This window comes from Homo sapiens, chromosome 6 (genome assembly GCF_000001405.40).
Source record: "Homo sapiens chromosome 6, GRCh38.p14 Primary Assembly".
NCBI classification, from domain to species: Eukaryota; Metazoa; Chordata; class Mammalia; order Primates; family Hominidae; genus Homo; species Homo sapiens.
Window position 1 is genome coordinate 6,363,594 of NC_000006.12, and position 14,091 is coordinate 6,377,684.

The window sequence follows — 14,091 nt, forward strand, 5'->3', positions numbered from 1 at the left end:
TGTTTATGTAAATTAAATGAGCACTGGTAGCAAGCTGCACTTGTTTCATTTTTTTCTAAATGGGAAATAGGAAATGGGCTAAAAATATGGAGGACCATGGCCAGGCTGCCATTGGCTGAGGAAGCTGAAGCCATTGGGGGCATTTCCCATGGTGGCAGAAGGTGCCAGCACCCATGTTCATGGCATCTTGTCCTTTCCATGGCCCACAAGGACTTTTGTCAACAGGCTTTGCAATGAACAACAGTCCTTCTCTCAAAAACTTCACATTCTAGAGGGAGAAAATTGGGGAAGGACATATATATATACACATATATACATATATATATTACATATACACACACACACATATATATATATACACACATATACATATGTTCAACTCCATCAGCTAGTGGTGACCATTATCAAGAAAAACAAAAACAAAGGACAATAAGCAGAGAGAAAGTGATGGTAGAGATCACTTTTATATAGTGATCGTCAAGGGCCACTCTGACAAGGTGGCATTTGGGCTGAGACTGAATAAAGTGAGGTGGTCAAATGGATATCTGGGGGAAGGGCATCCCAGTGGAGGGACCTACTCGTGCAAAGGACCTGACGTAGGATTGCACCTGACATCTTCAGGCCACCCCTAGTAAGTGAGTGTGGTATGATCAAGATGAACATGAAGGAAATGAGGTCAGGTAGTGAAGGAGCTGGATTTCATAGGGTCTTGCAGACCTTGAGAAGGGCTTGGGGTTTTCTTCTGAGTTAGGTAAGAAGCCATGGTAGGGGTTGCACAGAGGGCAGCACAATCTGACCTCGGTTGTAGAATCAGCACAGACTGGCTGGGGTGTAGTGAATAGATCGAAGGGTGCTGAGAGGGAGATATTTGGGGGCGGGCAAAAGGTGATGGTAACTTGGGTAAGGTTAGTAATAGTAGAGGGGTTGGAGAGCATGCTTGGACTCAGAATTTGCTTTGTGTTGGATGTGAGGTGGGAGGGAAAAGCAGTTAAGGACAACTTCAGGATTTTTAGCCTGAGAAACTCTAGAAGTACTGCTAGCTATCTTTAATTGGAATGTGAAAGTCTAAGGGGAAGAAAGCTTATGGAGCAAGATCAGAACTTCGGTTATGGACAAGTTGATTTCAGATGCATATTAAACATCCAGTGGAGATACTGACTAGGCAGCTGATTACACAGGATTGGAGCATAGGAAGACATCTGGACCAGTGAGTTAACATTGGGAGTGTTCATCTTATAAGTTCATTGGACTAAATGAAATCGATGAGGCACTAAGCATTAATATTAAACAGATAAGAGAAAAATTCTGAGGACTTCTGAAGGATCCTGGAGACCTGCAGCATCCAGGGCTAAAGAAAGGATGAGAGTGTGTTTAAGGAAAAAAAAAAAAAAAACAACCCTGAGGAGGAGTAGCCTGTGAAAATACTATTCTGAAAGCACAGTGAAGAAATTGTGTCAAAGAGAAGGGAGTGGTCAAGTGTACCGAATACTTTTGACACATTGAGGAAAACGAGTATAGGGGTTGATGGAGAATTGAAGACTAGCATTGTCAACATGGAGGTCATCGGTCGGTGAACAATTAGTTTATTTTCTAAACTGGGACACTTTTAAGAGTGAAAGAGGATATGTACTAGTAATCTATTTCTGTACAACAAATTATCCCCAAAGCTCAGTGCTGTGTTAACACAGCAAACATTTATTACCTCCTACAGTTTAGATGGTCTAGAATTTAGAATTTGGTACAGGTTCTGGCTCAGCACCTCTCATGAGATGGCAGCCAGCTATTGGCTGGGACTGCAGTCATCTAAAGGCTTCACTGGGGCTGTGAGATCTGTTTCCAAGGTGACTCAGTCACATGGCTGGAAAGTTAGTACCAGTTGTTGGCAAGGGCTTCAGTGCCTCCCCACGCGGGCATCCCACAGACAGCTTGAGTATTCTAACAACATGGCAACTGTCTTCCCCCGGGTCAAGCAACCCGAGAGAGCAAGGCTGAAGTGGTTACTTATGTTGGCCCTACTCAATCTGGAAGGGGTCCCAGAAGAGTGTGAACAATTGGAGACTAGAGACTAGGATAATTAATTGAGGGCCATCTTCAAGGATAACTACAGCAGGGTTTATCCATATTTATGCTCAGGTAGCAGATATACACTGGGACCATCGCAGGCAAACTGAGATGCATGGTCACCCTAATCTTTGGTGACTTTGGGGAGTGTAGTGATAGAGATGAGAACCACATCAATGAAATCCAAGCCCAGATCTATTGCTCAATCACTCAATTAAAAAATAAGCTAATTTCTCATTTATTTCCACTAGACTTGAAGCAAGTGGAATGGTGAATGTGATGGATGCTCATTTTACCATTAACTTGCAGTCCAACAGGGTTAAGCAGAGTCGAGATGGAAATTTAGATTATATTTAATTAGATTTATTATCTAATAACATTGTTTTAGTACCTGGATCCGGCCAAGCCTAAAGCTCACATTAACTATAACAGTCATCACATTCTTCCCCCATCCTCCTTAAACATTTTAACTTAGACCTTTTTTTTTTTTTTGGAAATTTACAACCAAAGGAATCCAAATTAATGTCTCCCTTGTTTAAATAGATCCTTGTTGAACACCATCTACTAATCTCCCAGACACACCTAGGCGTGTCTGAGTGCAGGGTAAACATAGTTTAAACTCAATCTGGTCTCCCTGGTACACTAAGAAGGCTGTTCAGGTCATCTCCTTTAAGAACTTCAACTTGCACTAGCATCTTACCTAGTGATTATGATTAGAAGATGGATTTTATATGTAGGAGTATATATTGACATTGAGCTGATATCAGTATTTGAGCAATCCATAAAAGTCAATCTTCAAGATGGGCAATGACACAGGTACTTCTTTAGAAATATCTTTACTCTGAAACACTGAGGGATCTTCCTTAAATCATTCCAGTAGCAAAAGCCTTGCCCTGAAAAATGTTGTCAGCAGAATAGCTGGACCACCCATCTGGAACCAAGTTGAAGTTCATCTCTATAAAGGAAAAGAAAATATCTGTAAATTGCATGCTAGTTGCTTTCTCTTCTGTTACCTTCTAACTACCCTTCTAGTTCATGTTTCCTTTAGTCATCCCAAGAACAGAACTAGGTTTTCATACAGCCTCTCAGGATTTATTCTACTTATAGTATATCTATCTTGAATTGGAATGTGATTAAAACTCTATAGGTGTTAGGGACATAGAAGAAAGGTTAGAGGTGAATAGAAAAAGACAGCAGTGGCTGTAATCGGCCTGCGGGGCTCTCTCCTGCTGGAGGTTATCCCACGCTGAGGACTGGGGACTTGCAGCCATCTGGAGGTTACTGTAGATCAGTGCCTCTTTGGAATGCACATGTAGAGGCGGAACAGGACTGAGCTGCGCCTGTAGAAAATTGAATGTGTCCATTGATCCGCTAAGTCTGAATAAACTCTCATTCTTGTTAGCACAGCAATTAGTCCTCATGGTCACTGGAGCATTGAAACAAGGCAGTTTGGCCCACTTGTCTTGTTTTCCTGTATTCCCAAACATGAAACACGTCCAGATTGGGACAGAACAAACCTCCTTCACTTTCAATCACCACCCGCTTCAAATTAAGAAGTAGACTGAGAAGCGGCAACAGCATGGAGGTGACATTTAATCTCAAGATCTACCCACTGCTGTTGCTCAACATTAGCTTGGCCCTTTCAAAGAACACAAGCATGTTCTGGGCATCTACTTTTTTTATATACATAATCTCGCTTAATCCTCACAAGTGAGATTTATACAGCAGCCTCTCTTGCAGAAGCACAGTTCACGCAGAACATGTGCATGTGGCAGAAACATCGGCGATGGGCAAAATCTGCTAATGGATTGAACCTAGAGGAAAGAACCAGCAAAGCCAAGTCATGATTCTAGATCCACCACAAGATCATTTGTGCTCAGTTTCCCTTAAAATGCAATAGACAACATTAAGGTAAGTAGAGGATCAGTGTTATCATGTTCAATGTAGAACTCTGAGCTTCTTCATGGAAAGGTGTTTAAAAATGGACGGTATGACAGCAGTTGAGTAGTCCTTTCACACTCAGACTTACCCAGAGTGGGTGGGGAGAATAATGTGAATTGAGCCCACTGCTGTCTCTGTGCAGTTCAATGTTCCCAGATGGCATATTCAATTAGAGTTTATTTCATCATCTTAAAAGAAACTTATTGAGAAGTTATATTCTACACTCAACAAGGGAGAAAAGCATATCAAGATGCTAGCTCTAATATGCTGTTACTCTTCCATAGTTCATGGCATAGAACCTGCCATAACTTTCCCCAGCCACACTTAGAGAACAAGACAGTGTCATGTCCTCTTTTGAGTGTCAGTTTCTCCCCCTTAAGCAGGGTATCTCGGCCTTGTCACTATTGATATTTGGAGCTGGATAAATGTTTGTTGGGGCAGGGTGGCTGCCTTGTGCATTGAAGGACTGTTTAGCAGCATTCCTGGCCTCCACCTGCCAGATGCCAATAGCAGTAATGACAACCAGAAGTGTCTCCAAACATTGCCAACTGTCTCCTGGGAGTAAAATCACCTCTGGTTGAGAACCACAGCCTTACAAAATGCATAGCAACTGAACTACATTGCTTGTTTGAGTTAGGAGGTGTAGAGGGCTGACTGATCATTTATGCAATCATCCATTTTATAGATGAAGCCACTGAAGCCAAACAAATGTGGTGCCTTGCTTTAGGTAACACAGGTAAGTGGTACAGCTATCATTAGAAACCAGGCTTACTGACTACTCCCTGACTACCTTATCTAAGTCTTGGTAATGGAAAAAAAAAATCCTATTATCATCTACCTGATCAGCGCAGTCTGTTTGAAGAAAGCCCACTAAATCTAGATGGGTTAGATCTAGATTTAGTCGGCTAAAACCGCAATTACTTTTGCACCAACCCAATACATTAGGTGAACCTGTAGTTCTGGAATAGTCAATGGAATGTGTGGCAAATTAAAAGTAATGGCAAATTAAAAGTAATTAAAAGTAATGGCAAAAACTGCAATTACTTTTGCACCAACCCAATATTATTGGTCTAATCCAAGCTCCTCTGAGGTCATGCTGATTTAGGCAAAATAACCCTCTGTCAATTTTTTACCTCCGTCTCCTCAGCCCCACTCTTCTGTTCCCTCTAGTCCCTATAGAAGCTGTGCTATTTCTAGGACACACAGTCACTGAGTATGTTGCAAGATTGAACATCTTCAAATCCTCTAGTGAGCTCCACACCCTTACACAAGCCAACACATGGTTAAATGGTCATGAGTGCAGTTGGTCAGTCCCACCACTGTGCTTCCTTCTTCAGCTCACTTGATTTTCCTTTCTCTGCCCTTAGAGTCACCCATCCCCTTCCATGTACCAAATTCTCACTCACCTTCAACCAAAAAATCCTAGAATGGCCCCTACTGTCAGAAGATCCATGCCCTCCAAATCTGAATTGATCGTAGACACTTTAGCTGAAGATTCCTTTCTTCTTTAAGTATGTCCACCAAATTCTGGGCCTTGCCCAAGAATCAACAGGTAATGTCCTGAAAAAAAAGAAAGAAAGAAAAGAAGAAAGAAAGAAAGAAAGAAAGAAAGAAAGAAAGAAAGAAAGAAAGAAAGAAAGAAAAAAAGAAAGAAAGAAAGGAAGGAAGGGAGAGGGAGGAGGGAAGGAGGGAGGGAGGAAGGGAGGAAGGAAGATGTTTGAGTATGCAAATGTGGTGACATAGAAAGAAATGGCACACGGGGTATTTATTCAGGACATTTTGGGATATAAGATGTGACTATCAAGTAATGCAATGTATTTTCACTTAAGACTTATAGAACCAGGTCTCATTACTCTGTGGGAACTAGAGATTTCGGATACTGTCCCTGGGCTTGAAATTCCCTTATTCTTATCCTCTAAAACACAGGTCAGTTATTTGCAGAAATCTTCTCCAATCCTCTCTATCTCAGTTGGATATAAATGGCCCCAGACTAGGGCCTGATGGCATCATAACACATTGATTGTCCTTAGCACAGTCTATTCTTCTGAGTTGCAATTAGACACTCTCCAGGAGCAAATAAGAACAGTGAAACATGCATAGGGTATCCTGCTGTAATTACTCCAAATTTACAACAACATTTTAAAAGAATTTTATATAAATAATTATACTGCATAGAATTTCAGAATAATCAGTTCTCATAAATGACTTTAATTGCACTGTCAAATAAATGGCAACTTTTTTTTTTCTTTTGACTTAGCAAATTCTGTTTTCAGTTTTGGTGATGCTGACTTCTCAGACACCATGGAGAAATGCTTACCACATCTGGCATGGCACACAGGTGCTTACACACTATTTTTCAAATGTCAGTTCCTAGATTTCCCCTGTCCCACTTCCATGCCCTGCTGAGGATGAAGTTTCCTGTGCTTCACCCCTATCCACACATTCGATTGACCACCCCATTTACACCTCTGGGCTGAGAGGTCTTGGGCAGCTGCTACAGGAGGGCTGGGATCTGGGAAAGCATGAGTCCCACCCTCAAGGAGCTTATAGTCTGGTGAGGACAAAAGGCAGGTAAATCAGTAATAATAGTACACAGTAAAAAGTGGGCAGGAACCTACGGGGAAGGCTGCTAATCCCATCTTGGTGATTGCCCTCACCAAAGAGAAACCTTCCTAAAGAAAACAACATCTAACTCAAAATTTAAAGGTGAGTGGTCCAGGCAAAGTGAGGTGGAGGGAAAGTGTCCCATGTGGAAGTTTGAGGAACAGAGAATGTCAAGAAACCTCTCAGAGGACATCAAGTCTCTTCTGACACAACACCTTCCAAATATCAGCAACTGGCTTAAATGGCTTGTTCTTAGACAAGACTTTTGGACAAAATGATATCAGAGCAAGGAGAAAGTCCCCTGAACTGCCAAGACATCTCTCTGTCTATTCAGACTTGCCTGTAATTAACTGAGAGCACAAATATGCCATCCTATAGTTGGAAATAAAATGCCTCTGGAGAGGTCACTTCTTAAGGGTTAGAAGCTCTACACCAAATTATATAAATGGTGATGTCAGAGCTCTGGCTTCCCAAAGGCAATGATTCTTAAACATTAAAGGGCATAGGAATTACCTGGGAAGCCTATTTAAAAAGCAGGTTTGGATAGTTATACACCCACATACATAGCAACATTATTCACAATTGCCAGAAGTTAAAAACAACCCAAATATCTTTTGATACATAAATAGATAAGCAAAATGTGGTCTCGCCATAAAAATGGAATATTATTCCATCTTGGAAAGAAATCTTGTCAGATACTACAACATGGATGAAACCTGAGGACATGATGCTCAATGAAATAAGCCAATCACAAAAGGACAAATGCTGTTTGATTCTACTTACAGGAAGTACTGAGTAGTCAAATTCATAGCAACAAAAAGTAGAATGGTGGGTGCCAGGGGCTGGGGAGGGAGGAATGCAGGATTGTTGTTTAATGGGTATAGCATTTCACTTTGAAACAATGTAAAAGCCCTGGAGATGTGGTGATGGCTGCACAACCATGCGAACATGCTTAATGCCTCTGAACTGTACACTTAAAAATGATCAAGATGATAAATGTTATATGTATTTTACCACAATTAAAAACAATAATGAAAAAGAAAAAAAAGAAAAGCATGTTCCTGGGGTCTGCTGCCAGACAGTCCAATTCAACAGGCATATGCCAAGGAGGTACCAGAGAAAGGTAAAGTTCAACTTAAAGAAATAAAAAAAGATACATGATATGAATGGAAAAATCTCCAGTGAAATAGATAGCATAAATGAAAAACAATTACAACTTTTGGAAATGAAGGGTACACTAACAGAAATGCAAAAGGCACTGGAAAGTTTCAGCAATAGAATTGAACAAGTAGGAGAAAGAAATTCAGAGCTTGAAGGCAAGTCTTTTGAATTAACTCAATCCAACAAAGACAAAGAAAAAAGAACTGTAAGAAATGAACAAAGCCTGCAGGAAATTTGGGATTATGTTAAATGACCAAATTTAAGAATAATTGGTGTTCCTGAGGAAGAAGAAAAATCTGAAAGTTTGACAAACATATCTGAGGGAATAATCAAGGAAAATTTATCCAGCCTTGTTAGACATCTAGACATCCAAATACAAGAAGCTCAAAGAACACCTGGGAAATTCATCACGAAAAGATCATCACCATGGCACATACTCATCAGGTTATCTAAAGTCAAGATGAAGAAAATAATCTTAAGAGCTATGAGGCAAAAGCATCAGGTAACCTGTAAAGGAAAACCTGTTAGATTAACAGCGGATTTCTCAGCAGAAACCCTACAAGCTAGAAGGGATTGGAGTCCCTATCTTTAGCCTCCTTAAATAAAAGAATTATCAGCCAAGAATTTGGTATCCAATGAAACTAAGCTTCATAAATGAAGGAAAGATACAGTCTTTTTCAGACAATCAAATGCTGAGAGAATTCACCACTACCAAGCCAGCACTACAGGAACTGCTAAAAGGAGCTCTAAATCTTGAAACAAATCCTTGAAATAGAATCTCCTTATAGCATAATATCACAGGACCTATAAAACAATAACACAATGAAAAAAAATGCAAGGTATTCAGGCAACCACTAGCATGATGAACAGAATAGTACCTCACATCTCAATACTAATGCCGAATGTTAATGACCTAAATGCTTCACTTAAAATATACAGAATAGCAGAATGACTAAGAATTTCCCAACCAAGTATCTGTTGTTTTTGAGAGAGTCACCTGACACATAAGGACTCACATAAACTTAAGGCTAAGGGGTGGAAAAAGATATTCCATGCAAATGGACACCAAAAATGAGCAGGAGTAGCTACTCATATCAGACAAAACAAACTTTAAAGCAAGAGCAATTAAAAAGGACAAAGAGGGACATTATATAATGATAAAATGACTAGTCCAACAGGAAAATATCACAGTCCTAAATACATATGCAGCTAACACTGGAGCCTCCAAATTTATAAAACAATCACTACTAGACCTAAGGAATGAGATAGATGGCAACACAAGAGTAGTGGGGGACTTCAATACTCCACTGACAGCCCTAGACAGGTCATCAAGACAGAAAATCATCAAAGAAACAATGGACTTAAACTATACCCTAGAATAAACAAACTTAACAGATATTTACAGAAGATTCTACTCAACAACTACAGAATGTACATTCTATTCATCAGCACATGGAAATTCTCCAAAATAGACCATATGATAGGCCAGAAAACAAGTCTCAGCAAATTTAAGAAAACTGAAATGATGTCAAATACCCTCTCAGACCACAGTGGAATGAAATTGGAAATCAACTCCAAAAGGAACCCTCAAAACCATGAAAATACACGGAAATAAAATAAGCTCCTCCTGAATAATCATTGGGTTAACAATGAAATAAAGACGGAAATTTAAAAATTCTTTGAACTGAATGATAATAATGACATAACCTACCAAAACCTCCGTAATACAGCAAAAGCAGTGCTAAGAGGAAAGTTCACAGCATTACATGCCTACATCAAAAAGCCTAAGAGAGCACAAATAGACAATCTAAGGTCACACCTCAAGGAACTAGAGAAACAAGAACAAACCAAACCAAAACCCAGAAGAAGAAAAGAAATAACCAAAATCAGAATAGAACTAAATGAAATTGAAACAAAAAAAATTACAAAAGATAAATAAAACCAAAAGCTGGTTCTTTGAAAAGATATAAAATTGATTGACCACTAGTGAGATTAACCAAGGAAAGAAGAGAGAAGATCTAAATAAGCTCAATTAGAAACCAAACTGGAGACATTACAACCAATACCACAGAAATACAAAAGATCATTCAAGGGTACTACGAACACCTTTATGCACATAAACTAGAAAACCTAGAGAAGATGGATACATTCCTGGAAAGACACAACCCTCCTAAATTAAACCAGAAAGAAATAGAAACTCTGAATACACAAATAACAAGCAGTGAGATTGAAATAGTATTAATAATTAAAAAGTTACCAAAAAAAAAGTCCAGGACCCAATGGATTCACAGCTGAATTCTATCAGAATTCAAAGAAGAATTGGTATTAATCCTCTTGACACTGTTCCAAAAGAAAGAAAAAGAGGGAATCCTCCCTAAATCATTCTATGAAGTCAGTATCACCCTAATACCAAAACCAGGAAAGGGCATAACAAAAAAAGAAAACTACAGACCAATATCCCTGATGAACATAGATGCAAAAATCCTCAACAAAATACTAGCTAACTGAATCCAATAGCATATCAAAAAGATAATTAATCATGATCAAGTGGGTTTCATACCAGGGATGCAGAGATGGTTTAACATACACAAGTCAATAAATGCGATACACCACATAAACAGCATTAAAAACAAAAATCACATGATTATCTCAATAGATGCAGAAAAAACATGAGACAAAAACTAGCATCTCTTTGTGATTAAAACCCTCAGTCAAATTGGCATAGAAGGGACATAACTTAAGGTAATAAAGATCATCTCAGACAAACCCACAGCCAACATTATAATGAATGGAATAAAGTTGAAAGCACTCCCCTGAGAACCTTAACAAAACAAGGATTCCCACTTTCTCCATTTCTATTCAAGATACTACTGGAAGTCCTAGCCAGAGCAATCAGACAAGAAAAAGAGATAAAGGATATCCACATCAGTAAAGAGGAAGTTAAACTGTCACTGTTTGCTGATGACATGATTGTATACCTAGAAAACCCTAAAGATACATCCAAAAAGCTCCTAGAACTGGTAAATGAATTCAGCATACAGTTTCAGGATACAAAATTAATGTACATGAATCAGTAGTTCTGCTATACACCAAGAGTGACCAAGCTGAGAATCAAATCAAGAACTCAACGCCTTTTACAATAACTGTAAAAAAAATAAAATACTTAGGAATACACCTAACCAAGGAGGTGAAAGATCTCTGCAAGGAAAACTACAAAGCACTGCTGAAAGAAATAATAGACGACACAAACAAATGGAAATACATCCCATGATCATGGATGGGTAGAATCAATATCGTAAAAATGACCATACTGCCAAAAGCAATCTATAAATTCAATGCAATTCCCATCAAAATACCACCATCATTCTTCACAGAACTAGAAAAAATAATCCTAAAATTCATATGGTGCCAAAAAAAGAGCCTGTATAGCCAAAGAAAGACTACGCAAAAAGAACAAATCTGGAGGCATCACATTACCCAACTTCAAACTATACTATAAGGCCATGGTCACCAAAACAGCATGGTACTGGTTTAAAAATAGGCATATAGACAAATGGAACAGAATAGAGAACCTAGAAATAAACCCAAATATTTACAGCCAACTGATATTTGATAAAGCAAACAAAAACATAAAGTGGGGAAAGGTCGCCCTATTCAACAAATGATGCTGGGATAATTGGCAAGCCACATGTAGAAGAATGAAACTGGATCCTCATCTCTCAACTTAAACAAAAATCAACTCAAGATGGATCAAGGACTTAAATCTAAGACCTGAAACCATAAAAATCCCAGAAGATAACATTGGAAAAACACTTCTAGACATTGGTTTATGCAAAGACTTTATGACCAAGAGCTCAAAACAGAAACAAAGATAAATAGATGGGACTGAATTAAACTAAAAAGCTTTTGCACAGCAAAAGACATAATCAGCACAGTAAACAGACAACCCACGGAGTGGAAAAAATCTTTACAATCTATGCTTCCAACAGACTAATATCCAGAATCTACAAGGAACTCAAACAAATCAGCAAGAAAAAAACAATCCCTTCAGAAATTGGGCCAAGGATATGAATAGAAAATTCTCAAAAGAAGATACACAAATGGCCAACAAACATATGAAAAAATGCTCAACATGACTAATTATCAGGGAAATGCAAGTCAAAACCACAGTGCGATATCATCTTACTCCTGCAAGAATGGTCATAATCAAAAAATCAAAAAATAGTAGATGTTGCCATGGATGTGGTGAAAAGGGAACAGTTTTACAATGTTGGTGGGAATGTAAACTAGTACAACTACTATGGAAAACAGTGTGGAGAGTCCTTAAATAACTACAAGTAGACCTATCATTTGATCCAGCAATCCTACTACTGGGTATCTGCCCAGAGGACAGAATTCATTACATGAAAAACATACTTGCACATGCATGTTTATAGCAGCACAATTCACAATTGCAAAAATATGGAACTAGCCCAAAATGCCCACCAATCAATGAGTGGATAAAGAAAATGTGATATATATGGTATGTGTGTGTACTCAACATGGAATACTACTCAACCGTAAGAAGGAACAAAATAATGGCATTCGCAGCAACCTGGATGGAATTAGAGACTATTATTCTAAGTGAAGTAGCTCAGGAATGGAAAACCAAACATCGTATGTTCGCACTTAAAAGTGGGAGTTAAACTATGAGGATGCAAATGCATAAGAATGATACAACGGACTTCCAGGACTCAAGGGGAAAGGGTAGGAGGTGGGTGAGGGATAAAAGACTACAAATATGGTACAGTGTACACTGCTTGGGTGATGGGTGCACCAAAATCTCGGAAATCACTGCTAAATAACGTACTCATATACAAAAAATAAATTTAAAAAATTTACCCCCCCCCCCCCCGCAAAATACACAAAATAATGGGCATATGTGTGAGGGTCTCACCAGTAGACAGAATTCATTTCAGGTGCCTCAAATGAAGGTACTAAGAGGAGGGATTCCTCACTTAGATGAGGACAGGTTTGAGAAGACCAGCAGGAATGCTGAAGCACCCAGAAACCAATGGCAGCAGAAAGGTAGAACTGCTCCTAGGGCTGAAGAGGCAAAGGATGGAGATTGTGGTACCCAAGCCCAGTGAGCACTGGAGCTCTGATGAAGCCAGTCCAAGTGGAGGGGCCATGCAGCAGGAGCAGGGGTGTGAGGACCAAGCAGGGAGGGAACCGGAAGAAGCATGCCGACCCCTCTCGCCTCCTGTTCTCTGGTCTCCCCTTAGGGCCACCATTCACTGAGGCCAACAGAACTAGACAGGCAAGGAGCCAGGGATGCAGTTAATCAAGGTCAACCTCCCAGAGCATAGAGCTGGGATAGGGGAGCAAAATAACTAGCAGGGTAGTTATTGGGGGTGGGGGAGCTCTGAAATCAGCATTAAAAATAAATCCTCAAGAAATCCTTTTGCAGTGACCCCTCCACCACCACCACCACCACCACCACCACCACTGCCCCCCTCCCCACCCACCCCGCCGCTGCCCAGACACATCTTGAAGACACTGTCTTGGGGGAAGGAGCCAGAAAGCCTGAAAGCCCCGGGCAGCCAGGAGTGGAGACAAAGGTGGAAATGGAGTAGACGGAGTTGATAGAAGGGATGCCAAACACGATGTCACAACTGTGATCCACAGAGTGGTGCTATTTCTCCCCTTCAGTTCCCACACAGAATCTGTATATAGGACGACACCTTTGCATACTGCATCACTTCAGCAGGCTCTGAACTGCAAAGCATGTAACTATGGTTTCTGTGGACAAGCAAGCACCTGAAATAGATTTATGTGTCTGGGAAAGTAAACAATCTCTCCTTTGCAGACCCAAATGTGACATGGAGTATACTAAAACCATAAGCACACACTCTGGTTCCTTTACAGATGGTATAAATCTTTCGCCTTGGCCGGGCGCGGTGGCTCACGCCTGTAATCCCAGCACTTTGGGAGGCCGAGGCGGGTGGATCACGAGGTCAGGAGATCGAGACCATCCTGGCTAACACGGTGAAACCCCGTCTCTACTAAATATACAAAAAATTAGCTGGTCGTGGTGGCGGGCGCCTGTAGTCCCAGATACGCGGGAGGCTGAGGCAGGAGAATGGCGTGAACCCAGCGGGCGGAGCTTGCAGTGAGCCGAGATCACGCCACTGTGCTCCAGCCTGGGCGACAGAGCGAGACTCCGTCTCAAAAAAAAAAAAAAAAAAAAAAAATCTTTCGCCTTTTACTAAAACCATGAGCATCATTATTCTAAACACTATGTCCACTTTCAGGTAATCACTCAGATTAAGTCATAAGTCTGCA

The 14,091-nt window shown here is 40.2% G+C and overlaps 1 long non-coding RNA gene across 1 annotated transcript in view; it reads right to left on the reverse strand.

Moving 5' to 3' along the window:
* Positions 1-14,091, reverse strand: part of LY86-AS1 (LY86 antisense RNA 1) — a 276,362-nt gene that overhangs the window by 17,129 nt on the left and 245,142 nt on the right. Inside the window, exons 5-6 of the long non-coding RNA NR_026970.1 lie at positions 5,409-5,562; positions 2,762-3,016 (exon numbers count right to left, since the gene is read on the reverse strand). This is a non-coding gene — a long non-coding RNA (LY86 antisense RNA 1). The remainder of the gene's footprint in view (positions 1-2,761; positions 3,017-5,408; positions 5,563-14,091) is intronic.